The sequence below is a fragment of the Homo sapiens genome, chromosome 3 (assembly GCF_000001405.40).
Source record: "Homo sapiens chromosome 3, GRCh38.p14 Primary Assembly".
NCBI lineage: Eukaryota > Metazoa > Chordata > Mammalia > Primates > Hominidae > Homo > Homo sapiens.
The window spans coordinates 132,652,323-132,680,013 of NC_000003.12; the positions used below are offsets into that span (position 1 = coordinate 132,652,323).

Consider the following 27,691-nt stretch of genomic DNA (forward strand, 5'->3'; position numbering starts at 1 on the left):
GGACTCCCCAGCCATGTGGAACTGTGAGTCCATTAAACCTCTTTCCTTTATAAATTACCCAGTCTCGGGTATGTCTTTATTAGCAATATGAGAACAGACTAATAAATCTTTCCTTAACTAGGTTAAATTTGATAGCAAATCATATAACCACTACCTTGAATACACCTTCAGTATACTTCACTTGCCCTTTCCTCACTTCATGGTGTTTGCTTGGCAAAACTCCCATCCATGTTAAATCCATTTTTTTTTTGCTTACACTGATATAACTGGCCATAGCTGAAGAAAGACACATACAGTCATAATTACTGTTTTAGGTTAGGTTCCCAATAAACAGATCATGAGAAAAAAAATTATATACAAGTGACTTATTAAGGAAATGTTTGGGGAACTAATAAGAAATTTGGGGAAGCAGGTCAAGAAAGGGGAGAAAGCTAAGCAAAGGTGTGATCTAAGACAAAGTCCCTTAGAGGGTAGCTTCAGCCTGATCTCACCAGTGTGTAGGTGGGGGTAAAGGTAATGGGGGAACTCTGCCGTGTCAAAGTTCAAAACATGTCTCTGAAGCAAGGATAATGAAAATTTCATACTTCTGAATCACTATTGGTTAAGGTCCACCTCAGGTACTACAACAGTAAGAGCAAAGGGTGCTCCAATAGCCTGAGGGCAGTTTACCAAAAAAAGAGGCATAGATGCTGTTTATTGGAAGCAAAAACCAACAAAGGCAGGACATGTACAGCAACACTAGAAAGGGATCCAAGAGGATCTGGACAAAGCATTAGTAATATCTACTGAAATATCTATTCTTGCTTCAAATTCATGACCTCAGCAAACCTCAAAGTGAACCACATCTGGCAATCATATTTCCTTAGCTCATTTATTCTCCCATTCTCTTGGATGGCTGTTTCATAATTCTCTCTCCTCAAACCTCAAACACTTTCTTCTCCATCTTCATTCTCAGCTAATTAATTACCTAGGTTCCTATTTCAACGAGCAAATAGGAGCAATCAGATGAGAACTTCCACAAGCTTACACTACTGTATCTACTGCATACAATAATCTGTACACATATATTCTGTCTTCCCTCCAAAGTCTGCAGAAGGACGTGCACATTTCTATCTAAGGGCAACCCCTTCTCTTGCATATTAGAGTCCTGCCTTCTTAAGGACTTCTTTCCAGGCCTCTCTCCTACACAAAATTTTCTCTTCTAGATTACTGTCATCAGCATACAAATATGATGTTATTTTTTAAAAAGCTTTCTCTTGACCTCACTTCCCCCCTACTTAAAACATTTCTATTTCCTTTCGTAGAAAAACTCCTCAAGAGATTACACGTCCTCCTCCTATCTTCTTAAACCCATTTCAATCAAGCTTTCATTCCCTTCTTTCCATTAATACTACTTTTTCAAGATCACTAATACAAACCATGGTTTTCCCCCACCTCTTTGGCCACTTCTTCTAAGACTCCTTTGTAGGTTTCTCTTAATTTGCTAACTTCTTAATATTGGGGTGCCTTGGACTCAGTCTCCAAACCTCCTTTTTATGTGAACTATTTTCTAAGTAAGACCTTCGATCTTATGTCTTTAAATATCTTCTTTTTGTCGATGGCTCTCAAATTTATATGTCTAGTCCAGATCTCTGCCCCGACCTCAAGACATAACCAACTGCTTACTATACATATCTACTTGGATGTCTAAAAGGCATCTTGAAACTTAACACTCCAAAACTGAGTTCCTCAAATTTCCCCCTCAAATCTGCTTTTCTATAGTCACCTACATTTCAGTTCACAATAACCCTATTCTTTCAGTTACCAAGGCAGAAATGAAATAATCTTCGTCTCTTCCTTTCCTAGCCCACATTTAATCAGTTAGTAAACCCTTCAAAATACAGTCATGCATTGCTTAATGACAGGGATGTGTTCTGGAAAATATGTTGTTAAGTGATTTTTGTCACGTGTAAACATCCTAGAGTGCACTTACACAAACCTAGATGGTATAGCCTATTATGCACTGATATATAATTATGTTTTATGATCATAAATGTCTCATAATGGAGTCACTTATGACAAGTGACTCAGCTTACAGTGAAATCACTGACCACTCAGAGTAGTAAGCATATGTGTGGTGGACTGAGGTGATAAGATAGCATCTGCTGTGGCCAGGCATCCCTGACACCTGACAAGAAAGTAAAGCCAAAAGTCAGCTGAAGATAATGGCCATGGAGATGTCTGTGGAGAGCCGTAAAAGCCAATCATGGCTGAGATGCCTGCAGAATCTCTGCCCATGAGAACTCTGAGGCCTCCTTTCCTTTGGCTGTGGTAAGCCCTCTGGGAAAAGAGCAGCTACCCACCACCAGGTCAGTGGGCATTCTGAGGAAAACCAAACCTGGTTTTCTCAGTCAGTGTGCTGGTCTCCCAGAATACTTGCTGTGTTTCCCTTCTCTATTAATGCCTATGTGTGTTGGATAGAGTTACATGATTGTTGTGTAGAAGCCACACAATAAATCGTGAATTCCTAAGCATTTAATTGGCACTGATTCGTTGTGAAACTTCTCAGCTGGTTGGAGTTAGCATAAATAGGCTGATTTGAACCCGATAGGACACACCTGAGCTCTGTGGTACAGCCTGCTGCTCCTAGGCTATAAACCTGTGCAGCATGTGACTGTACTGAATACTGCAGGCAATTAATTGTAACAAAATGATAAGCATTTGTGTATCTAAACACATTTAAACATAGAAAAGGTACAGTAAAAACACAGTATTATAATCTAATGGGACCACTGCCGTATATGCAGCCCGTCATTGACCAAAACGTCATTATGCAGCATGTGACTATATACTTACACTATGACCACTTCTTACCCATTCTACACTCCCACTCTGGTCTATGCCACTGATATCTCCCTGCTGGAACACTGTAATACATTGGTGTCCTTGCTTCTGCCCTTGGCCCCTTCAGTCAACTCTCAACACAAGAAGCAGAGATTCTGTTTTTTTTGTTGTTGTTGTTTGTTTGTTTGTTTAAAGATTACTTCCCTCCTCTGCTCAAGCATGTTTTAAGTCTCTCTCCATCTCAATTCAAAGTAAAAGCCAAAGTCTCTTTATTGCCTGACAGGGTCCCTGTTGCCCTTGCTTACACTACTTCAGGCATTTGGGCTGTGTTTCCTCAACACACTGGGCACACATCCCTTCCAGGGCCTTTGCATTAGCAGTCCCCTCTGTCTGGAACACTCTTTTCCTGGATATTTACATGGCTCACATTTTCATCCCCCTTCAAGTCTTTGCTGAATGCCGTGTGCTCGAGGAAATCTTCCTGCCCCACACCCAAACATTTCCTATTCTCTTTTCCTCCATGTTACATATCAACTTCTACATTGTAAAGTTCAGAAGCTGATTTTCCTGTCTGTCTTCTACAAATACAATGGAAGTTCCAGGGAGGCAAGATTATTGTTACATCCTCAGTGGTTGATACAGTGCCAGATACATATTAGGCACTCAGCTGCAAATCACAAGTTTTGTTGTATCAAGCTATATAATACTTTCATTATTGATTAATTCTAAATATTTTATCTTTCCAATAAGATTTAATTTTTGCAAATTTTAAAAGTAAATCTTGCAGATAAAAAGAGTATTTATGAAATTGGTAAGGCATGAGGAATAGTAATGCCACAAACACCATTTTCACTACCCGGAGAAAATTACTGTCTTTGAAACCCTGTATGTCCTTCCCCTTGAGTGACTACCATTCTGAATTTTATATTTATCATTCCCTTGAAGTTTATCTCTGTATATAATATACTGTTAATTTCTTCACGTTTTTCATTCTGTGTTATGTACAGCTGTAGCTGAATCATTTTCACTGTTGTATGCTACTCCATTATGTGAATATACTGCAATTTATTCATCCATTCTGTATCTATAGACATTGTGTTGTTTCCTGGATTTTTGCTATTACAAACAGTACAATGAACATCTTTGTAGATTGTCCCCTTATACTGTAGTACAAGAAAAGTCTCAGGAGTATGTATCTATGAGTAGAACTGCTAGGTCATAGGTCATGTGTATCTTCCCAACTTCATTTTTACAAGATCATGTTGAGTTATTTTTCAATAGCAGCTATACTAATTCACACCCCTATATGAGTCCCTGTTGCCCCATATCCTGATGCTTGATATTGTCAGATTTTTTTTTTTTTTGAGACGGAGTCTGCCTCTGACTCACCCAGACTGGAGTGCAGTGCTGTGATCTCAGCTCACTAAAGCCTCTGCCTCCCAGGTTCAAGCAATTCTCCTGCCTCAGCCTCCCGAGTAGCTGGGATTTACAGGTACCCACCACCACACCCAGCTAATTTCGTATTTTTAGTAGAGACGGGGTTTCACCATGTTGGCCAGGCTGGTCTCGAACTCGACCTCTGGTGATCCACCTGCTTCAGCCTCCCAAAGTGCTGGGATTACAGGCATGAGCCACTGCACCCAGTCTATTGTCAGATTTTTTAAAAGTCAATTTGGTGGTGTGAAATGGTTTCTCATTGTGTTGTTTTTTTTTTTTTAATTTGCATTTCCCTTATTACTACAGTATAATAAAGTTGAGCATCATCAAGTTTTCGCCCATTTTTCTGGTGAGCTATTATAGTTATATTCTGAATATTTTAACCATTATATGCACTGAAAATATTTTCTTCTGTCTTTTCACTTTAAGTCTTTTAATGAAAATTTATCAGTCATTTCCTTTGTGGTTTCTGCTGTTGTCTTTAAAATATTTTCTTCTCTAAAGTCAAAAATATAACTTACACATCTTCCAAACATTTATAGTTTAACATTCAGTTCTTTTATCTACCTGGAACTGTGTGAGATAAAGAGTCTAATTTCTATTTCTTCATACAGATAACAATTATTCCAGTATAACTTCTTGAAAAGTTCTTCTTTTCCCCCCACTGACTCTCAGTGCCAACATTGTCACTTATCAAACTTCTATAAATATGTGGGTCTTTCTGTGAACTCTCTGTTCTATTTTATTGGTCTGTCTATCTCTGTGCTAATATCATACCATCTTAACTCAAATTTCCCACCTTGTGGTTCTTTAAAAATGTTTCTGCTATCCTTAGCCCTTCGCTCTTACACATAAAATTTAGGAGCACTTTTTCAAATTAGAGAAAAAAATTAGGATTTTGATTGTCATTGCTTTGAATCAATAGATCAACTGGAAGAAAAAAGTTTGCAATATTGAATATTCCTATTCAACAACATGGCATCTCTCAATTTTTAAAATTCTTTTTAAGGTCCTAATAAAAGTTTTATCATTTCTCTACAAAGGTATTGCACATCTTTTACTTAGGTAATTTATATTTTTGATGCTCCTGTAAGTTTTTGAAAATTACATTTTAACTGTTGCTAAAGTAGAGAAATGCAGTTGATTTCTGTACACTGAACTTTGATAGTCTTTTACTGTCTATGTAGATTATTGGCTCTTTAATCCATGAATCACTTAATTTATAAACATGTATTTGTTAGCTATCTTCTGTTAAACTTTTGGTATTAAAAAAACACATATTCCTTTTTTTTTTTTTTTTTTTTGAGTCTCACTCTGTCACCTAGGCTGGAGCATGGTGGTGCAATCTTGGCTCACTGCAACCTCCCTCTCCTGGTTCAAGCGATTCTCCTGCCTCAGCATCCCAAGTAGCTGGGACTACAGGCACGTGCCACCACGCCCGGCTAATTTTTGTATCTTTAGTAGAGATGGGGGTTTCACCATGTTGGCCAGGCTGGTCTTGAACTCCTGACCTCAAGTGATCCACGTGCCTCGGCCTCCCAAAGTGCTGGGATTACAAGTGTGAGTCACTGCACCTGGCCAAAACACACATTTTCAAAATATAAAGATTGATTCTTTTGAGTTTCTGAGACTTCCTTCATGGCCTATGTGTTTTCAATTTTTATAAACTTTTTCATGTGTCCTAGAAATGAATGTGTGTTCTCTGTGGGATCCAGAGTTCCATATATATTTATTAAACCAAGCTTATACAACATTTCTGGAAGCAATTTTTATACCACAACTAATTTACAACTAATTTCATTTTTTGAACACGGTTATGGTTTAACATTCAGCTTGGTTCAGAATTAAGTATCTTTCAGTTATGTACCTCTTCAACACTCCTACAATATGAACGTTACTATCTCCTTTTTGCCAAAGCAGGACTAGATGTTCAAAGGGTAACTTGTCCAAATTCCACAGCAATTGAAATAGTTGAAATTTGAACTTTGATCTGTTTCAGTTTGTTACAACACAAGGCTTCTAGCCTAGAAATCTCAGCTATTCTTTATTCCACCTTTCCCTTCATCTTCCAATATCTATTGGGACATGGGACCTTTAAATTCTACACCCTAAAATGTTCCCTGATCCATCTCATTTATTATTATTTTCATTTTCACCAAAATCAGTAGTCAAAGAATATAAATGCTAGTGATAAAATACCACTAGCACACTATGTTGTTGCAATTTTTACGCCCTTTCACCTATATTACGGTATTTCATTTCATTAATAAGACTAATCAAAATAGGTATTACAACTTAGGAAACTAGTTCTCAGAGTGTTTATGTAACATATTTAAACTCCCAGACAGCAAGTGACAGATCCAGTTTTCTGAATGATAGGACTCTTTCTGTAGCCCTGTATTAGTAACAATGTTATTTTTAGAATAAAGTTTTAAGAATGTATTATCTATTGTAAAACATCAGACTAAAGCCAGATTCCCGGTGGGGAACGCTACTCTCAGGATCCTCTCACTCAGTTCCATTACCTCACTTCAAAAAACCTGAGGCCCAAAGTGGTGCTGTGACCTCCTAAGTGGAAAAGCTAGTACTCGAATTCGGATCCTCCATCTGGTGTCATTAACTCAGCCTCCCGGAATACGGCCAATCAAACGGAATTACACCAGCTTCTCAGAAAAAGATCTAATGGCTGTATCACAAAAGAAGGCATCTATTTCTCAGAATTTGTAGCCTTAATTGCCTTGGTGAATCCTCAAGGGACATAAATCCATCCTTTAACAAAGATTCCTTTGGATAGTAGAATGGTGAACGTTATTGCGCTTCCATTACCGCCCTCCAATTGGGAAGCCCCCAGCATCGAATTCGGAGGGCCGGCAATAGCAGCTCATGCCTGTAGGGTGCGTCCACTGACTGCAGGAAAAGCAATCAGGGTGGGAGAAACTTAGGAAACCACCCAGGGCCAAAGGAAGGAAAACTCAATGTACAAATTTTTTTCCGCTGGAGGCAAAGGCTGACATCCATACCTGTACTGGGCAATGGTCAGCGTAGCCTCACGTTCGGCCCCAAAGCCAGACAAGTGCTGGTTTAGGTAGGCCTCCAGGGACTTGCTGTCGAACTTGTGCTGGGGCAGCACTTCGGCCAAATCGGACTCGCCAGTAGCACCTGGCTTCATGATCACCCCCGCAGGCCACAGCAACGCGGCATCCACAGGTCTCGAGTGCCGAAGTCCTTCAGGATTGGGGCAACGTCCCCTCTAGAGCATGGGCCGAGGCCGGGGTGGGGTCTGGCTCCAGCCAACCGCACACAGCCTACGCGCCGTTGCTGAGCAACGCTTGCCCGCTGAATCCCGAGGTTTTAGCTCTAGTCAAGTGCCAAAAGAGCCCAATGTGTGTTCGGGTTTCAATTCTCCAGTCAGCGTCAGAGTTGGAGGCCTCAATTTTAAAGAAGGCAAAGCCATGGTCATCGTTGCGGGTAAGGAACAACGCAGAAGCCTCTTCCACCCCCAAATTTAATGCAACAGCAGGCGGAAGACCTGCAGGGTCCCGTTCAGAAAAAGGGCCGTCAGACTGTCGAGCCTAAGAATAAAAAGACCCTGTTTCTCTTAGATACCCGGTTAGCAAGGCAACATCGCTGGCCTCCTGCCCTGGACACTTATCACCCCGGTGCTGCTGCGGCCGGGTTTAGCCGGCCCAGCGAGGAAGGAAGCCGAAAGAGCCAGGTTTTTGATGAGGGGGAGCGATGTCTGCGACGCACCGGAAGCGGCTCCGAGGAAGGCCTGTGGGAGTCTCGGAGACGTGTCTGTCTGTGAGGCGCTGGGTGCACGTCCCCAGGGCTCTGGGCTAGGAAGGCAGCGGCGAGGTGCCTCCCCACGTACCCCTCGCGGGCCCAGCCGAGCAACGTGGGGCGAAGGCGGCGGCGAAGGCCCGGGCTGGGAGCGTTGGCGGCCGGAGTCCCAGCCATGGCGGAGTCTGTGGAGCGCCTGCAGCAGCGGGTCCAGGAGCTGGAGCGGGAACTTGCCCAGGAGAGGAGTCTGCAGGTCCCGAGGAGCGGCGACGGAGGGGGCGGCCGGGTCCGCATCGAGAAGATGAGCTCAGAGGTGGTGGATTCGAATCCCTACAGGTAACCTGCGTCGCCGGTCGGAGGCAGGCGCGGGGGACGAGGTCAGGCTCCGTGAGGTCAGAAGTGAGGCGCTTCCCACGTCCCGCTCATGGGGACGCCCGCCACCCTTTTCTTGGTCTGCGAATCCTGTTCCCAAATGGGCAAGGCCACATCTTAGTACTGATCGGAAGATATTCTTTCTCTTTTTTAAAAACCTCCAGTGAGTCAGCCATATGGTGCTGCTCCTGTGCCTGCTGAGGACGTGTGTCCAGTTTCCTATCACCCTTGCCTCTTAATTAGTCCGCCTCGCTGTGTATAAGACTGATAGTAAGAACTTTCAGAAGATGAGATCAAATATTAAACCTGCTAAGGTAAACTTTGAGTTTCATTAAAGGCTTATCAATGCATCTTAAATGGGGTCGGGGCGGGGGAGAGCGGGGTTAGCTCTATTCTGAGATATTCGGGTGCTCCTTAACATCTCAAACCATTCGACATTACCAAGACTGCCCAGGCCTCTCTTTTCTTCTTTCCTAACAAAGCTTATCAATTCAGCAGATGGAATATAGTGCAATGGTTAAGGGTAAGGACTCTACCGCCAGACTGATTGCAATTCAAATCTAACTACTCTCTTCGTAACTGCCTAACCTTTGGCAAGTTGTGAAACTTTCCGCTTCAGCTTCTCACCTGTACAATGAAGATAATAGTAATATCTATCTCTGTCATAGTTGTGGGGATTGAAAAAATCAGTATGTATAAAGGTCTTAGAGTAGCGCTTGTACATGGCAAGCCTTATACAAGATTTTATTGCTAGGTGCATTTAGTAGCAAGCAGTTATTGAGCTTTCACTGTGTAAGCACTTTACATGCATTGTCTCCTCCCACCAAAACCCTATGAGATTGCTACTATTTTACCCCCATTATATAAGTGAGAAAATTGAGGCTTAGAGAGCCACCTCAGGTTCATGCCTTGGTAGTAAATAATAAGGCCTGTCTTGCATTAGATTTGTCTTAATGTAAAATTCTCATGAACCGTCTCCCCAGTAAAAACAATTAAGTCGTGTAGCTAAAAATTGTATAGTGTTAAAGTAGATAAGGAAGATTTTATTGTTGCTTTTTTCCTTTAAAGAGCATAACAGTTTTGATTTTTAAAAAAGGTTTTAGTTTGTGATATATAAAGCCGCAGTAGAAGTCTTAGGGTGCACTGTTTTAACTGTGTTGCCAAATATGAACGGTTAATGGTCCAGAATTTTTAGAGATTAAATAAGCATGAACTGACATCTCTAATCAGAATAAGTGGAAACTATTTGACATTTTTAAAACATTTTAAAATTTTACAAATGAAGACTTTGAAATTTTCCCTCCAGAATGAAAAGCAGAGGAATATGGGTCATGAATTTAAGTTGTCTTTCAGACATTATTTAATATGAGATGATCCCTTGACATTGTAATTATAACAAAACTTTCAGAACTCAAGTCTAAATATGTAGTATTTTCTATCTGATTTGCACCATTGACTTTATTAAAATTGCTATACAGGAGATGGCAGTTTGATACCCAAAGCTGTTCACTGATATATGGAATTTTAATAAAGTTCAGCTTTAATTTTTTGAATTGTTCATACAGCAAATATTTACTGAGTACATTTTTGTCTCCAGTCCTCCTTGACAATATTATTTACTTTGTATTGAGTACTTATTGTGTGCAGACACTGTGAATATAAAGTAGACATGGTCTTTTCCCTCTAGAGCTTACCAGATGAGTGTGAGATAAATAGAAAAGTAAACATGCCATTGCAGTACAGGTGATAAGAATTATGATAAAGTACAGTGTTATTATTGATAAAGTACAGGTTATTGAATTATGATAAAGTACAAAAGGTTATAGGAAAGGGATATGTATGTGTTCAACACCATTTTAATTGCTTCAAGAGATACAAAAGAAATATAAAGCACCTGACTTTTGCTTCAGTTTGAGAGACTACATGGAGGTGGGATATTAAAAAACACAAGTAACCGTAAAATTATGTGTTATGGAATATAGTTATAAGCATGTGGAAAAATTGGAGAGGCTTTGAGATTAGAAAACCTGGTATCAAATCCTGGCTCAGAAACCCAGCTCAGAATACCACTTGCCAGTTAGCTGATTTTGGGCAGTTGATTAACCCAAACCGTTTCCCTCATCTGTAAAAGGGGGTTGCCATCCATGCTTCTCAGATTATTTAAAGATTGAAGGGAGCATCAAGGTAAGGATAGCAAATTCCTGTGATGGATCTGCCATCACTTTCTACCCAACCTCACTAAAGTGACAGTAAAGGAATTTTTTAAAAGAAACTCCCATTGAAAATATAAAGGGTTCGTATTAATAACTGATAGGGAGGGGTGGGTCCCTGTACTTGATTATAGTAACAATTTGGAAACTAGAGAAGGGATGGGTGAAGGTAACTGATTTAATAGATTCAGAGAAGTTTAATCTTAAGCTCGCAACCCAGTTTATTGCAAGAATCCCCCAAAAGGCTCAGGAATAGGCACAGGTACTTGCAGAACTTCAGGTAGGGCTAAAAAAAACTTTCAGTTGAAAATCTGTTGAAGAAACAAAAGCCCCAGATCCCCTACTCCACTGTGGGTAACTGGGCAAACACTCCTTCCCTACCAGAAGAGGAGAGTAGAGATTTCTTCATTAGAAAGAGTAAAATAGAAGATTTCCAAGAATAATTGGGGCAGGTCTTTGTACCTGAAGGAAGGGGTAAACTGATTGTTTACATGCTGAATGCTGTGACTGAATGTAAACTAAATGCTTACATACTGAGTGTCGAGACTCCCAGCCTTGCTTCTTCACTTCCAACAGCTGATCGTGGGGTTGGAACTCCAACTCAGGTTGGAGTTTGAAAGATTATTCTCTAGGGAATCTGATAGAGCCAAGAGGAAAGACTGAAAGACACTGACATTGTGGGTTTCTCAACTAAATAGTCTGGCCAGATGACCCTACAGTGAAGTCCAAAGTCAAACAGTTATTGCCTATATTGTTACCTTTATTAGTGTCCCACACTTAAATATGAACAGAACAAAGGATGAAAGAAACTTCTAACATGAAAGAAATAAAAATAGCAACTTGGATAGACTATGTAAGATAAACACATCCCCCTAAATTATCATTAGTATCCTTAGATGAGAGAAGATATGGTACAAATGATACAGGAACAAGGTGCAAAGTATTTAGATGATCAGGAATTCTTGCAAATGGAGATGGTAATAGAAATGAAAATCTTAATAGAAGTGTTGGAAAATAAAGTTGAAAGAAATCATCCAGAGAATAGAGCAGAAAACTAAAATAGTAGATAACTGGAGAAAGAAGATAAAGGACAAATCCAGATGGTTCAACTTCCAAATAATAGGAGTTCCAGATAGTCCAGGAAAAACAAACCAAACAAGGAAGTAACCAGATTCTTCAAGGACATTTCCCAGAACTGAAAATGTGAGTTTTCATTTTGAAAGAGTCCACTAAAAACTCAGCACAAGGGATGAGAACAGATTCACATTAAGGCACACTGTGAAATTTTACAAGCTAGGAGACACTGGAGCAATACCTTAAAATGTTGAAAGACAATTCTAACTTTAGACTTCTTTACCAAGTTAAACTATCGATTAAGAGTATATGTGTAGCTTCCCACAATTATATGCCCTTTGCTTTGTCATTTTTATAAAGAATATAATTTTGATAAGGAACATTTTCAGAAATGAAAGTTCTCAAAATTTACCTTTGCCGTACCCTTTGCAAAACTACTGGAAGATGTTCTTCTAACCACAGCAAGAGAGTAAGTTTAAAAATAATTGATGACAGTGTTTTAAACTGTCATGTGCATCAGAATTACTGGAGGGCTTGTTAAAGCAAATTGTTGGACTCCACATTCAAGATTTCTGATTCAGTGGGTGATTATAGGGTAGGGCCTAAGAAATTGCATTTCTATTAAATTCTCAGGTGGTCCTGTTGTTGATCCATAGACACTTTAGAACTAGTGAGCTATAGCATACAGGAAACAGTGGATTAATACAGAATAAAGAAATTAAGAGACTTTGTAGTATAATGATGAAGGAAGAGCCTAGGAAGGGAGCTGTATGTGCAGTAAGTCTAGAGACAATCATGTCAGATTCTAGGAGATACATCTTTAAGAAGATGAAATTGATAGAATACCTCATGAATATGAATGTATCTAGAGGAACTTTAGATAACTAGTGGAAAGTTGGCGGTTGAATTTGTGAAAATACATAGGAAATTAAGCATCAGGAGAAACATACTTATTAACTTCAGGGTTGGGAGTTAGAGGAAAGGGTAAGTTTTAATATATTGCATGGCCCAGTTGTGAAGAGTTAACATCTAACCAAGATGACTATCTAACAATATTGGGAAGTTGGTGGGATGGAAGATGTCTGCGTGCAGTGGGGATGAATGCTAAGAGCAAAATCTGATTCACGTAATTGACTAAAACTGAAAAGAAATAACAATGTTAGCATGTTGTTTAGGAATATGATGGTAATGGACTTAAAAGTGAGGGAGAGGAAAATGGGGGTGGAGGCTGAATTTCCTAACAAGCCTGGTGGAACTATTTGACTCCTTAAAGTGAAGATGAATGGGAATTAACCATAGACTTAAACTGCAGATTACCAGTAACTAGTTAAAGCACCTCTTAGAGTCTTTGGCATACAGTAGGTGCTTACTAAAAGTATACATCATCTATTGTGGGCAGAGGCAACAAGAGAATGGAATTCCAGCCATGAATTTACTCTGATGATGGAGATCTGAGTGTTAAAACATTAAATATTTACATATTCTACCAAAGCATAGAAAAATGTTGAAATTTAACTTTGACCCTTAACATTTAAGTAGTAGTCGCAATCTTGGCTGCAAATCAGAATACATAGCTTTTAAAAACCAATCTTGTTTCATATGCTACACTTGGGAGAGTTTTTTTAAACGGTGCCTGGGTAATTTAGTTTCATCTGGTAAAAACCAGCCTGTAAGCATCCTCCTCTTTGAAACGATTAGTAATGATTATATTTTGGTGTTTATTTTCTGTGATGATGTATGTCTATTTGTATTACTAATACCTAAAAGACTGTAAGCTTTAAAACATATTTTTCTTTGTTTTAAGCCGCTTGATGGCATTGAAACGAATGGGAATTGTAAGCGACTATGAGGTATGATAAACCCTTTCCAAGTTTTTGTAAGATTAATTCAGTAAATTAAAATAACTTCTGGTGACATATTTGATGAAGAGCTATTAACCAACATATACTATTTTATATTTCACAGAAAATCCGTACCTTTGCCGTAGCAATAGTAGGTGTTGGTGGAGTAGGTAGTGTGACTGCTGAAATGCTGACAAGATGTGGCATTGGTAAGGTAAAAACATTTCTCTTTGCCTGTCATATAGGGAACTACTCACTCCTGGAGTAAATCAGGTACAAGTTAGGATTTTTTTTCTTTACCAGTGGCTTATTGACTTGCAGTGTATTAATCTAGATTGTTCTTTCTACTCGGGTTGAGACATATCCCCACCCAAACAAAAGGTGATATTAGACAAAGATTGTCTAATTGTGTTTAGAAACGTTTTTGTTTGAAGTAATATGCAAACAATTTGGACTTAGGTGTTTTAGATATAGAAACTTAGGAAACAAGGCTGTTAATTTGATAAAGTGTGTGAAACACTGAAACATCTAACAAATATTTTATTAAACATATACCAGGCAGAATAGAAAACATGTACCTTTCCTACTCTTGATTTTGAACTAGAGAATGCTCTGGATGGATTTTTAAAAATTGGTACTCTTTTACTTTTTTCTAAAATTCATTTAGATTATGGGTTAGAAAGAAGTAACTTTCTTGTACCAGAATTCAGTCTACCAATCTTAGATTTATAAAGCCAGAGTCTATGATGTTAGATACATAATGGTTGAATGAATAAGCTTTCCACAATTATATATCCTTTAATTTGTTGTTCTGGTAAAGGAAGCATTCTCCCACAGTTTACCAATGCTTTCTAATATGTTGGTCTACCCCAAATTCTTAAAAGAAGGTGATTTCAAAATTGGCACTCACTTATCAATATAGAAATAACACCACCAAAATACTAAAAATATTTATTGAAATTTTAATACCTTTCAAAAGATTTACAAAACCTGGACAAAAATTGCTTATAGCTGACTTAAGCACCCTGACTGCTTGACCAGGGATAATAGAGATTATTGAGATTAGTGGCTCTCAAGTTTGAGTATGTTATCACAATTAGTTGGAAGCCTTATTAAAGCACAGATTAACAGATCCTACTCTGGTGGTTTTGATTTTTATAGGTGTCAGGTGGACTTCATAATTGACATTGCTAACAAGCTCCCAGGTGATCCTGATGCTGATGTTGCTAGGATTACACCAGTAAGAACCACTGGATCCTTGCTCTACTCCAAGTCTAGTCCCTGAAGTAGTAACATCAGTATCAGCTCTCAATACCTACCTCAGACATACTGAATCAGAATGTGTATTTTAACACAATCCCCAAATGATTCATTTGCATATTAAAGTTGGAGAAGTGCTCTTGCATCTCTAACAAGCTTCAGGTGATGCTAATGCAGCTAGACCACGCCATTTTGAGTAGCAAAGAGGTAGAACAGTAGTTATATATTGCTGTAGTTAGAATCACCTGGGAAGTTTTAAAAAATTCTGGTGTCCAGACTGCACCCCATAATAAGTGTCTCTGGGGATGAGGCACAAACATCTGTATTTTTAAAAATTCTCCAAGTGATTCCAGTGTGCCCTCAAGTTTGTAAACTGAGAATCTACACAGGTAAGTTTCAGGAAGTCTTTCTTTAATTTGTAAAACAGATAAATACGAAGTGAATTAATGAGGTTAAATAGGAAAGTAGAAGATGTTAGGAAACCCAGAGTCCATTTCTTATCCCTGAAAGCCTTTGGATCTCTTTAAAGTATCTGGGGTGCCTTGGATCACCAGATCTATATTCGCTGCTTTATTTTAGAGATGAAGATACAGGCCTAAAAAGTGAAAGTGATTTACCCACAATCAGAGCTAATTAGTGGCAGAGTTACAGCTCAGACCTTCTGTTCCCAAGTTTAATGTTTCCCGCAACTTATGTATAAACAAGCTATGAGGCAGAAACTCATTTAATACTTGGCCTGACCTAATAAATATTGATGAGCTTAAAGAAACTATGTTTTGGAGACTCTTACGTAGGATTAGAAAATTTTGGAGAGTGTGAGATCTTTTCTAGTATTAAGGGCTATCTAGGTGTTATGGGTTAGGTTAATTTTTTTTCTTTTTAGTTTTTTATTGAAAAGAAAATCCCATTTTTGTTTTTATTGTTTAGTGTGCTGAGAATTGTATTAAAGAGTCACAGAATTTCATATGAAGAAGGGACAGGAAGTCCTTGGCTCTAGCCTGTTCTTACTGATAAGAAATGTGATCTAATGGCCATTTTAGTGTGTGTGTGTGTGTGTGTGTGTGTGTGTGTGTGTGTGACAAATGCTTTTTGAAACAGGCTTAAGTGTATAGCAGGAAACAACAATTAACTGGTTTGTAATTCTATTTGGAATAATGTTTTAGCCATGTCACTGGTATATATTTTGTCATATACACAAAAGGAGTCAGGTTATACTATATTTTAAGTTACAGCACTTGTTTTCATCTTATTTAAAGATTTCATTTATCCAATGGATTCCTGGCTTTTAGCAAAAAAATGGAAATGAAGTAGGATTTTGCCACAGATTTAAAAAATGGAATGAAAGGGAATTAATCTTAATTTCTGAGTAAATTATTTAGAGAGGCAGCACAGCATTGTGGTTGAGGTGCAGATGCTGGATTGAGAATGCTTGAATTTGAATCCCATTTTCACTTCATATTAGATGAGTGGCCTTTGGACAAGTGTTGTAGTTGCCTCATTTTAAAAATAAGGATAATAGTACCTACATGCCTCACATGAGCATTCAATGAATTAATATATGGCACCTAGTGTTGTAGAGTTAGCTAATATTATTATCAAACTGCTAAACTAATTAAATGTAAAGCTCTCTAATTTATTTTTTGATATGTTTAGTTTTTTGGTATGTTTTTCATCAGAATACCACTATTTTCATTTTAGTTGCTACTCTTTGATTATGACAAGGTGGAACTAGCCAATATGAATAGACTTTTCTTCCAACCTCATCAAGCAGGATTAAGTAAAGTTCAAGCAGCAGAACATACTCTGAGGTAAATGGAATAGCAATCAAGTACCATATTCAGTGAAATCTTACTTTATGTATTTGATATGAGTTAATATAAATGAATCTTAATTTTTCTCTATAAAATGCAGTTTTCACTTGTACAAAGAATTCTCTTACCTGTTGGACATGGGTTGGCAAACTTTTTATGTATAGGTTAGATAATAAATATTTTAGTCTTTGAGGGCCAGATATTCTGTTGGAACTGTTAGTTGCAGTTTGATAGCAGCTGTAGGCAAAACAAACATGAATGAGCATGTCTGTGCTCCAAGAAAATTCTATTTTTGGACTCTGAAATTTGAATTTCATACAATTTTTAATTTTTTTAATTAAAAAATAAAATTTTTTTGAGACAGTCTCACTCTGTCACCCAGATTGGAGTGTAGTGACACAATCTCGGCTCACTGCACCTCCGCCTCCCGGGCTCAAGCTATCTTCGCATCTCAGCCTCCTGAGTAGCTAGGACTACAGGCACGTGCCACCATGCCTGGCTAATGTTTTGCATTTTTAGCAGAGATGGGGTTTTGCCACATTGCCCAGGCTGGTCTCAAACTCTTGGGACTCAAGCCATCTGCCCACCTAGCCCTCCCAAAGTGCTAGCATTGCAGGCATGAGTCACTGTTCCTGGCTGATAAAATTTTTATAGTCATAAATGTTCTTTTGATTTCTTTTCCCAACCACTTAAAAATGAAAAAAAATTCTTAGTCTGAAGGCTGCACAAAAACAGGTGGTGGGCCAGATTTGGCCCATGGGCCACAGTTCACCAATCCCTGCTTTAGGAATTTCCTTTGTGGCCCCAAATTTGTTAACTGAGTAAGGAAGTGAGGCTGAGTTGTAGGTAGTTACTGGACATGGTTAAGTCTTAATTCCCAACACTTAGATTGATTGGGGTGGGAACAGTTTTGTAATCTTTATGACAAAAATGAACCTAGTCCTTGAAGTGTGAGATAAAAGAGACAGAAAAGGACTTTGGGTTTTCTTTGAATAGCTTGAATTCGCTTCTCTAAGGTATGTTAAATGCCCTTTAGCTCTTTCATCTCTTTTCCTCACAGTTTTTTCTTACTACAGCTACTAGTAGTAGTCTTTTTAAAAACATTTTTTTAGAGACAGGGTCTCACTCTGTCCCCCAGGTTGGGGTGCAGTGGGTGCGATGATAGCTCGCTGTAGCCTTGAACTCCTGGACTCAAGTAATCCTCCCACCACAGCCTCTTGAAATGCTAGGATTACAGGCTTATAATCATTCCCTTTTTCCTTCTTAGGAACATTAATCCTGATGTTCTTTTTGAAGTACACAACTATAATATAACCACAGTGGAAAACTTTCAACATTTCATGGATAGAATAAGGTAAAATTTTAATTTATGAATATTTTGTATAATGTCCAGCTCAAGTATTAGAAAATTATTAGAAAAATCTATGGATTAATCCAATGAATGGAAGATTGATATATATTTTTCCATTTTTTTAGTACAGCAATTTTTGTGTAATTTTTATGTATTAGAATATCATTTAAAGGTATATATTGTCCAAAAACAATTAAAAATAAAAAGCAAACAAGCAAAAAACCCCTGTAAGTTACAATATAAGAAGAGAATGTCAACTTTAAGTTCTGTGTTCTAGATTATATTTCTGTCTGAAAATGGTTTTCTTCAGAGACTGTCAGACCACCACTGAAATAATGAGTTGCATTCAATTAGCTTTTATTACATTTGTAATGAAGCATGAATAAAAATGTGAAAGCTGGTAGTGAAAAAATAACTGTTGTGAACATACTTTATACTTCCTTCACCCTTGTAGTTCTTGTAAAATAAGTAATACTACAATGATACTGTAGTATCATTGATGTTATATTCATAAGTTACTCAATACTTGATATATATGATATCTTTAATATTACATATTTATTATGTAATAATTATAGTCAAACATTTAATGAAAGAATAAGTGTTGGACTGAACAAGTAAGTATAATGTATTAGAGTGTATTTTGTGTCCTGATGTTTTTCAAACTTATTTTCTTTGACTAGTAATGGTGGGTTAGAAGAAGGAAAACCTGTTGATCTAGTTCTTAGCTGTGTGGACAATTTTGAAGCTCGAATGACAATAAATACAGTGAGTATTCCTGCTGTGCAAGATATATTCATGGATTTATCTGTTTTCCTGTATATTCTATCAGTATATAATCCCCATCCTAAAAACAGTTCTGAATGTAAACCCTTTTCTGTGTTTTATTTGTAATGTTCTCTTAGCCTACTCTTAAAATCTATTCTAATAGCTGTGGGACCTAGACTGTCTAGCCTTGCTGCTGTGACATGTGTTACAGTATCCTACTCTTTTTGCTGGTAAACTATAAAACAGCAAATACCTCTGATGTATAATTCTTAAATTAGTATCTTATAATCTTGGTCAGCATTAGTTTTAGCTTTTGTTATTTTATAAATGTATAAATATGTATAAATTGCCTGAAAACCTGGTTTCTCAAAAAAAAATTATTTTCCTTTTGAATATTGTTTTTAACTTTTCAGATGATATTTTGGCATTTTTTTTGTTCCTGCAATGATTTTAGAAAAGTGAAATTTCACATTAATTTGACAAGAAATCCAATAAACTTTGATTCAATTTAATAATATTTACTGACTGCGTCTTGAATACTGTCACTCTACTCTTTAAATAGAGTATGGTAATTACCAAGGAATTCCATTATCTTACAACTTGCCTCATTTGTTCTGAAAATTAATTTTAAAAGACCTTGGTAATCCATTCAGTTAAAAGAATTTATTGTAAATTACTTCTTGCTCTTTTATTTTTTTTCCTTATGTTTTCACCCATTTCTACTAAGGCTTGTAATGAACTTGGACAAACATGGATGGAATCTGGGGTCAGTGAAAATGCAGTTTCAGGGCATATACAGCTTATAATTCCTGGAGAATCTGCTTGTTTTGCGGTATGCATTATTCTTTTTGGAATATTCTTCACTGTTAGATACTTGAGTTCTTAGGGGCATTGAAAATGTATTACAATTCAAAGAAAAAGCAAACTTGGATGGAATACTATTTGGAACATCTCATACTTTTTCTCTTTTTTTTTGAAATGTGTTTTATTTTTCATGTAGTGTGCTCCACCACTTGTAGTTGCTGCAAATATTGATGAAAAGACTCTGAAACGAGAAGGTGTTTGTGCAGCCAGTCTTCCTACCACTATGGGTGTGGTTGCTGGGATCTTAGTACAAAACGTGTTAAAGTAAGTCAGGGCTAATTTTTCTGAATAGTCTTGTATGCTTTCAGTAAACATAAATATATTTCACAAAGCATTTCAGAAACTGAAATTACAAGCTAAGTATATAATTTAGTTACTTTAAACTTAAATGTAGTTTTAAATGTTTTATATATGTATATGTGCAAATTCTATTTTATATATGTATGTCTACTTTTCATATATATTGCTATATTAAATATTACATATAATACATGTGTGCATATTCATACGTGAATATATGTGAATGTCAGTTACTCCCTGCATTTGGAATAGCTTTTATTAAATGATACAATGGTAGTGGCATATTTATTTATGAAACATTAACTGAATGATTTAAATCTTTGCAAGTCTGTCCAGTGGATGGAGACTTAAACACACTTGTTTCTACTATCTTGATTTAAGTCTTACCAAAAATAAACCAATGTGACTAAACAGTAATTATTGTTAATGTAATTAAACATTAGTGTTACTGTAAATTTTACATTTACATAAAATGTTAACATTTATATTAGTGTTAATATAAAACACATTAACAGTACTTAAAAAAGATTCTTGAAATCTGCTTTTAGATACCTCTGCTATCCAAAAACAAATATCCAGCAACTGTACTATCTAAACTGTAGCTAAAAAGAAGGAAAAAGATTTCTTTGCTGCTGAAATTTATGTCACAGTTTATGAATCAACTCATACTTTATTAAAAGCAGAGCCCCTTTAGGTGTTCTCTAATTCAGGCTATTTATTTTCCCTCATTTTACAACTTTAATAAGCTTAGTTGTATTCCCTAAGCCTCCAATATAATAAGAACAAACTGCAACAAGACACAAGGAGGTACCAATCAATAAGAAGTGTCAGTTGCGAGCAAAGAAATTGAAAAAAGCATACATATAAACTCTCAAAGTAATGGTCTAGGGCTATTTCATATAAGAGCAAATAGCCTGTTTAGACAGTAGTAGGCCCTGTCTAAACAAAACATTTTATAGTATGATACAAAAAAGGAGAAAAGAATCATGGCTAACAAAGTATTCCCTTAAGGATGTGTCCTATTTAGCTAGCCCCTCTATTGATGGTCATTTAGGCTACTTAATTCTTTTCTTTTTTATTAACAATGCTATAGGCTACATCTTGTATATATCTTTGAATACTAGATTGATCACTCTTCTTTTTGTTTTTTTGGAGACAAGGTCTCACTGTGTTGCCCAAGCTGAAGTTCAGTGGCTCAGTCATGGCTCACTGCAGCCTCAACCTCCTGAGCTCAAGTGATCCTCCCACCTCAGCCTTCCAAGTAGTTGGAAGTACGAGTGTATGCCACAATGCCTGGCTAATTTTTGTATTTTTTGTAGAGACAAGGTTTCACCATGTTGCTCAGGCTGTTCTTGAACTCCTGAGCTCAAGTAATCTGCCCACCTCAGCCTCCCAAAGTGTTGGGATTACAGGCGTGAGCCACTGTGCCCAGCCTAGAGTTTTCTATAGTACTTTTTTTTTTTTTTTTAAACAGGGTTTCACTCTGTCACCCAGGCTGGAGTGCAGAGGCACAAAGGCACAATCTCGGCTAACTGCAGTCTTCCAGGTTCAAGTGATCCTCCTACCTCAGCCTCCCAGGTAGCTGTGACTACAAGCACCCACCACCACGCCCAGCTAATGTTTTTGTATTTTTTGTAGAAACAAAGTCTCCTTGTTTTCCAGGCTGGTCTTGAACTCCTGGGCTCGAGCAGTCTGCCCATATCGACCTTCTAAAGTGCTAGGAGTTACAGGCATGAGCCACTGCACACGGCCTATAGTACACATTTTTTAAAGTAGAATTTCTGAATTTACGAAATATTTACTAAATTTCTCCTGCAAAAGGATTATACATTTGTATCATAGTTTAGGAGTACCTGGTTCACCCATACCTTTGATAACTTTGAGTATCATCAAACTCTGTAATCTGTCATTCTGGTGGGTAAAAAACAGGCATTTAATTTTTCTTTTTATTTGTGAAAAAGGTTGAACACTTACATTCTTCTGTGAATTATCTGCTAATAGTTGTTGCTCTTTTTTGTCTTGTATATTAAGAATGTGTATTTGCAAATATTTTTGTCATTTATCTTTTTTATGTGATTTTCTCTGTATAGAAGCTTTTATTATGTTAGTGCAAAGGTAATTGTGGATTTTGCCATTACTTTTAACAAAAACTGCAATTACTTTTGCGCCAACCTAATAAAAGACATCAGATTGGCCGGGTGCAGTGGCTCACGCCTGTAATCCCAACAATTTGGGAGGCCAAGGCAGGCGGATTGCTTGAGCCCAGGAATTTGAGACCAGCTTGGGCAACATGGCAAAGCCCCATCTTTACAAAAAAAAAATACAAAAATTAGCCAAGCGTGGTGGTGCTTGCCTGTAGTCGCAGCTACTTGGGAGGCTGAGATGGGATTGCTTGAGCCTGGGAGGGCGAGGCTACAGTGAGCCATGATCACGCCACCTTACTCCAGCCTGGGCAACAGAGTAAAAAGTATCAGATTTGACTGGGAAGAGGGCAGGAGGGAGCTGGAGGCACATGGGATGCTGAAAATGTTCTGTATCTTGATCTGGTGATGGTTACATGAAAGGCTCATACAAAATTTTATTGAGCTATACATTTAAGATTGTGCATTTTATAGTAAGTTACATACAAAATGTTAAAATTAAGTAGCTTTCTTAATTATCTCAGGGATTTAAAAAATACACTTCTCCCACATTTTAGCTTCTCTGAAATCAGCATGCTTCTTGAAGTTGTTGACGTGTAATTGTTTAGCTGCCAGCATTTTATCTTTATTAGAGGTTCAAAAAAATAGTGTGTTCTACAGTTGATGAAATGGAGTAATCTTTTCTTTCCTTCATTCAATAAACACTGAAGTATCTACTATGAGCCAGGCACTGTAAATAAGATAAAATTTCTGTTTTCTGGATGCAGATTTCTGTTTTCTGGTTAAAAAAAATATATAATTACCTATTTCAACGTTATTTTTAAAAAATTTAGGTGTTCTAGTATTTTTCATGTTTTAAATTTCTTTATTTAAGTCTATTTTGATTTTTCTAGGTTTCTGTTAAATTTTGGTACTGTTAGTTTTTACCTTGGATACAATGCAATGCAGGATTTTTTTCCTACTATGTCCATGAAGCCAAATCCTCAGTGTGATGACAGAAATTGCAGGAAGCAGCAGGAGGAATATAAGGTATATGACAATCTGTTAGAATGCATGAGGGATCATATTGAATAGGACAATACATAAACAGATTTGGAATACAAGATAAATGGTTAATTTATTCACCATACTTCAAAAATGAATGTTCTTTCTTGCTTTTGGTAAGATAAAAAGCCTGTCTGAATTCTTGATTAATGCTTTAGAGAACTGAGAATGAGTAAGAACACTTTGATGCTGTTTGATTTCTACAGAAAAAGGTAGCAGCACTGCCTAAACAAGAGGTTATACAAGAAGAGGAAGAGATAATCCATGAAGATAATGAATGGGGTAGGTATTCTTTTATAAATTGAAATGGCAGTATAAAACAAAACCTTTTATGGTAGCAAATCTAATAAGATTATACAAATTGAATAATTATTGCTTATTAAATTCCTTAAAAACTGACATAGGATCAAATTTACAGGTATTGAGCTGGTATCTGAGGTTTCAGAAGAGGAACTGAAAAATTTTTCAGGTCCAGTTCCAGACTTACCTGAAGGAATTACAGTGGCATACACAATTCCAAAAAAGGTACTTCAAAAATATGATTTACCCATATGTAAATATCATATAAAATATTTATCATCTTCATTCTAATTTGTAATGCCAATGAAGTATTTCCTGTTTTAGATATTTTATGCTATAGGCATTAAGATGTGAGAGAGAGGTATGCAGTGTTAATATGCAAATATTTATAGCTTAAACTTTTAAAACATAGAATAAAATGGTTTTGTTCACTCATTAATGAACCAAGTATAGTAGATTTTGATTAAATGAAGATCTCATTTTTGTTTATCGGTAGTTTTAGCTACGATGTCGTTTAAAAAGCTAGAGCTGTCAAGAATATTGAAATTACTGCCTTGTAAATCAAAAGACTGGTGAGGAATGTAAAAGACTCTGTCTTTCTTCTAAAAATTAGAAGATAGTTGTTAAAGAAAATTTACTTTATAACCTTGTTGAGCATGGTCAAAACTTGCTGATTATATATTCCTAAGCATCAAGAATTCTATATGGTTCTTTTTTCACTGTATTTCCCTTATTTGTCAATAGCAAGAAGATTCTGTCACTGAGTTAACAGTGGAAGATTCTGGTGAAAGCTTGGAAGACCTCATGGCCAAAATGAAGAATATGTAGATAATGGACTGGGATATATTGTATTTCTCATGTTAAAGCCTCTTCCCTTGAAATTAAAAAAAAATTTTAACTGATAAAACTTAGGGCAACATTAATTAATGTATATTCTTACCTGAATTGTTATACTTTTTGAAAATCCTGTGACTTGCCTGTTTCTCCCCGCTCCAACGAAATCATTAACTCTCCTAAAATGTGTTTCATTCTAGTAAGAAAACCTCAAAGGATATTGTAGGATATAAATCTTACTTGAAAACATAGCTGTTGAAATGTTTTGGCCTTTTGGAGTGGGGGAAGGACAAATCTGATCCTGTAATCTTTTTCTTTCCAGTAATCCCTTGTGTCTGTTGCATGAGGACATGGACAATAAAGTAGTATATGATCCTCAGATACAGGGAGAAGGACAAGGCATACAGCTTATTGATTAGAGCTGGCAAGCATCTGCTCATTATGTTTGGAATTGCTTTCTATAAGAAAATTGCCCACTACTACTAACTTGATCAACAATGAATTCAAAATAGTTAACCTATGAAATAACATCCTCTCAAATGTTTGCTGATGAAGTACAAGTTGAAATGTAGTTATTGGAAAAGTCTGTAACCTGTGGATCATATATATTCAAAGTGAGACAAAGGCAAATAAAAAGCAGCTATTTTCATGAATAGACAAAGTTGATTTCAGGAAGTATAAATTATATTCTGCACCGAACAAGGAACAGAAATTATTGCATCTGTGGAACATATATCTGGAGTTACTATACTTTACTGAAGAGCAAGGCATAAATTTAGACTAAAATCCATCCAGATTACACTCATTCTTTAGGCTACTCCTGGATACTTCATTTAAATTTGATTTTCGAGGTAGTGAGATGTCGGCAAGGTTTGTCCTGTATATTAGGAATAAAGGAAAAGTTCTAAACTGCCTCTGCAATGACTTGTAGTCAGTGGAAGAGTATCACTTTCCCCTGATCATGACCACTAAACTGTAAATTGATATAAATTAGTTTTCTCTCGAGTTACACCCAAGTAATGAAGACTTAAGAGAACCTTGGTTGAAATAAATTTCCAATAGTTTGGAGACTCATAAATACCATGCAGGTGTAACCACTGCCAATAGGCTGTTTCTATGCTTATTTCCTATTTTGATTTTTACTTTGAAGATAGGAATATCTAAATTATATCTCTAGGGAGAAAATGTTGTAAAAAATTAAAAGTACATCCCTGATTGTAAAATAAAGTTCAAAAAACTGATTTCAGAAAGTCTCAACTACCAAATGTTTTCAATATATTAGTTTTGAGATGCTAGGATTATACTGTGATTCTTATGTTTATAGTAAAGTCTGGAAAGCAGAAGGATAGTTTTTTTAGCCTGGAAACTTATTTATGTTGCCTTGGTGAGTCTTCTATCATTTTTTAAAAATTTAGCTTATTGAACTGTAAAATAGCTTTTCTAGTATGAGAGATGTTTTGAATTTAAAAAATGAAATGCAGTTTTTCAAAAATAAATTTCCTTTGGAAATTCTTGCATATCAATTTAGTAAGGTTTTATAAAATTTTACAATTTGATAAAGTATCACATCTAGAATTCACTGTCTTCTTTTATCTGCTCTCAAGTTGGCATTGCATCACTGCCTGTGTCTTACACTGCACCAAATGTTACCTAATTGACCTAACTTTTTTTGTCTAATATCTTTCATTAAAAACAATTGGATTATTTAACCAGAAAAAAAATCTGGTAATAGAGATGTTGCTATCCTAGAATACTCTCTTGACAGTCTGTATGCCATGAAAACTTGCATAAGAAGGCAGCTGATTACGAAAAATTAATCATCATTGAATTTAGTATTACTAAACTCATAGCATTTGTCCAGATTTGTAAACACTATTGATTCTAATGTGAAAGATGGAAAAGCAGTCCCAGAATTGGCTTAGCACAGAGACTCTAAATGATAGTAAAACAACATATTCAACTTTAATTCCTGTCTTATTGTTAATGGGAAGTTAGTTATGGTTCTACTTAAATGTTGTAGAGAAAATAAGTATTACTAGTTTCTTCTCATAAAAATACTCCCTGGATACGTACACTGAACAACACAAAAAACGTAATGGCCACTTAAGAATATTTATTTATTTATTTATTTTTTTGAGACAGAGTCTCACTCTGTTGCCCAGGCTGGAGTGCAGTGGCACGATCTCAGCTCACCACATCCTCCGCCTCCCAGGTTCAAGCGATTCTCCTGCCTCAGCCTCCCAAGTAGCTGGGATTACAGGTGCCCGCCACCACGCATGGCTAATTTTTGTATTTTTAGTAGAGGCGAGGTTTCACCATGTTGGCCAGGCTGGTCTTGAACTCCTGACCTCAGGTGATCCACCCATCTTGGCCTCCCAAAGTGCTGGGATTATAGGTGTGAGCCACCACGCCCAGCCAAGAATATTTACTAAAGGAAGCTTTGACCCCTGCATCACATTTTTTTCATATTTCCCTTTCTGTAATCTCAGCACTTTGGGAGGCTGAGGTGGGTAGGTCAAGAGGTCAGGAGTTCGAGACCAGCCTGACCAACATGGCAAAACCCCGTCTCTACTAAAAATACAAAAATTAGCCGGGCGTGGTGGTGCGTGACTGTAATCCCAGCTACTTAGGAGGCTGAGGCAGGAGAATCGCTTGAACCTGGGAGGCAGAGGTTGCAGTGAGCTGAGATAGTGCCACTGCACTCCAGTCTGGAAAACAGAGTGAGACTCTGTCTCAAAAAAAAAGGTATTGATGAATAAAAATTATAACTAGAATAAGTACTCTAACAATTCAGATTTATAATTGAGTTGTCTGAAAGCTACCTTTTTCATTGTGAAAGTGCATATTAATGTGAAGAAAATATTCCTATTTGAGAACTTCAAATATGCATACACAAAGATGTTCCAGCTATTTTTATCTTCTTAAGTATGCATTCTACATGAGAACGTTTGGGTTGGTAGTAAAATAAATAGTAATATCAAAATAGTTTATTATGTTTAAATTTCATTCTTTTGGAATACATAATTTTGAGTGATCATGTCTCCAACTACAGTTATTCAGGCACAAATTTTGGAGGTACAAAGAATAAATAATATTCTTAAGGTAGTTTTTCCTTTTATCAGGGTTCTTCTAGAGTACTGGTCTCATTATTTTCTAAAGCAGTTTTTCTAAGGTGATAAACCGAACACATTACTTGCTATGTATTAAATGACTTGTACCACTAAATAATCAAATTCTAAGCTCTAACAGCTTAATTCTAAAATCATTGTCTGGTATATTTGTGTTTTCAATTACTTTGTGTCTTTCACAGCTGCCAAACCCAGAAAGGTATGTTATGGTTATAGTTTATCTTCTATTTTTCCCTCTTGAACTACTCCCAAAGGAGGAAGAAGGATGCTCATTATATACTGCCTCATTTCTTTTTAAATTACCACTATAGTGCCGTAGAGTTATACCACTGCTTCTCATACTTATGTGCACA

The 27,691-nt window shown here is 36.9% G+C and overlaps 2 protein-coding genes and 1 long non-coding RNA gene across 11 annotated transcripts in view, besides 3 other annotated features; 1 reads left to right on the forward strand and 2 right to left on the reverse strand.

The window, feature by feature from the left end:
* Positions 1 to 7,487, reverse strand: part of ACAD11 (acyl-CoA dehydrogenase family member 11) — a 101,669-nt gene extending 94,182 nt beyond the window's left edge. For all 4 annotated transcript variants that reach the window (NR_132428.2, NR_132427.2, NR_132426.2 and 1 more), the window contains exon 1: positions 7,281 to 7,487. Coding sequence is in view for 1 of the 4 variants with exons in the window: in NM_032169.5 (NP_115545.3) it covers positions 7,281 to 7,429 (149 nt within the window). In the remaining 3 variants the exon portion in view is untranslated. The remainder of the gene's footprint in view (positions 1 to 7,280) is intronic.
* NPHP3-ACAD11 (NPHP3-ACAD11 readthrough (NMD candidate)) overlaps positions 1 to 27,691 on the reverse strand; it is a 164,322-nt gene that overhangs the window by 94,185 nt on the left and 42,446 nt on the right. The window lies entirely within an intron of this gene.
* UBA5 (ubiquitin like modifier activating enzyme 5) lies at positions 2,108 to 27,472 on the forward strand. 6 transcript variants are annotated; one of them, NM_198329.4, is made up of 12 exons: positions 2,108 to 2,348; positions 13,501 to 13,546; positions 13,662 to 13,751; positions 16,496 to 16,605; positions 17,876 to 17,962; positions 18,643 to 18,727; positions 19,455 to 19,559; positions 19,728 to 19,855; positions 22,926 to 23,061; positions 23,283 to 23,358; positions 23,495 to 23,601; positions 24,121 to 27,472. In NM_198329.4, exons 2-12 carry the CDS (start codon positions 13,508 to 13,510, stop codon positions 24,202 to 24,204), a joined length of 1,047 nt encoding a protein of 348 aa, NP_938143.1. In that variant the 5' UTR covers positions 2,108 to 2,348; positions 13,501 to 13,507; the 3' UTR covers positions 24,205 to 27,472. The 6 variants fall into 6 exon arrangements, 5 of the variants coding, with proteins under 5 accessions (NP_938143.1, NP_001308168.1, NP_001307139.1 ...); NM_001320210.2 differs by lacking the exon at positions 2,108 to 2,348 and adding an exon at positions 8,007 to 8,726; NM_024818.6 differs by lacking the exon at positions 2,108 to 2,348 and adding an exon at positions 8,007 to 8,376.
* Positions 7,789 to 8,327: an enhancer, noted in NCBI's record as "H3K27ac hESC enhancer chr3:132378955-132379493 (GRCh37/hg19 assembly coordinates)". NCBI's record gives its function as "activates a minimal SCP1, AML or CMV promoter by ChIP-STARR-seq in primed H9 embryonic stem cells {active_cell/tissue: H9 hESC(primed)}" and the evidence as "EXISTENCE:reporter gene assay evidence [ECO:0000049][PMID:30033119]".
* Positions 7,863 to 7,952: an enhancer, noted in NCBI's record as "active region_20538". NCBI's record gives its function as "activates an Ori minimal core promoter by ATAC-STARR-seq in GM12878 lymphoblastoid cells {active_cell/tissue: GM12878}" and the evidence as "EXISTENCE:reporter gene assay evidence [ECO:0000049][PMID:35858748]".
* Positions 8,323 to 8,602: an enhancer, noted in NCBI's record as "active region_20539". NCBI's record gives its function as "activates an Ori minimal core promoter by ATAC-STARR-seq in GM12878 lymphoblastoid cells {active_cell/tissue: GM12878}" and the evidence as "EXISTENCE:reporter gene assay evidence [ECO:0000049][PMID:35858748]".

Excerpts from the sequence above, each read along its gene's own strand:
- UBA5 (NM_024818.6), top strand. The coding sequence starts at position 8,216 with ATGGCGGAGTCTGTGGAGCGCCTGCAGCAGCGGGTCCAGGAGCTGGAG. Across the intron at positions 19,856-22,925 it reads TTAGTACAAAACGTGTTAAA|GTTTCTGTTAAATTTTGGTA; the intron begins GTAAGTCAGGGC and ends TGATTTTTCTAG. Across the intron at positions 23,062-23,282 it reads AGCAGCAGGAGGAATATAAG|AAAAAGGTAGCAGCACTGCC; the intron begins GTATATGACAAT and ends TGATTTCTACAG.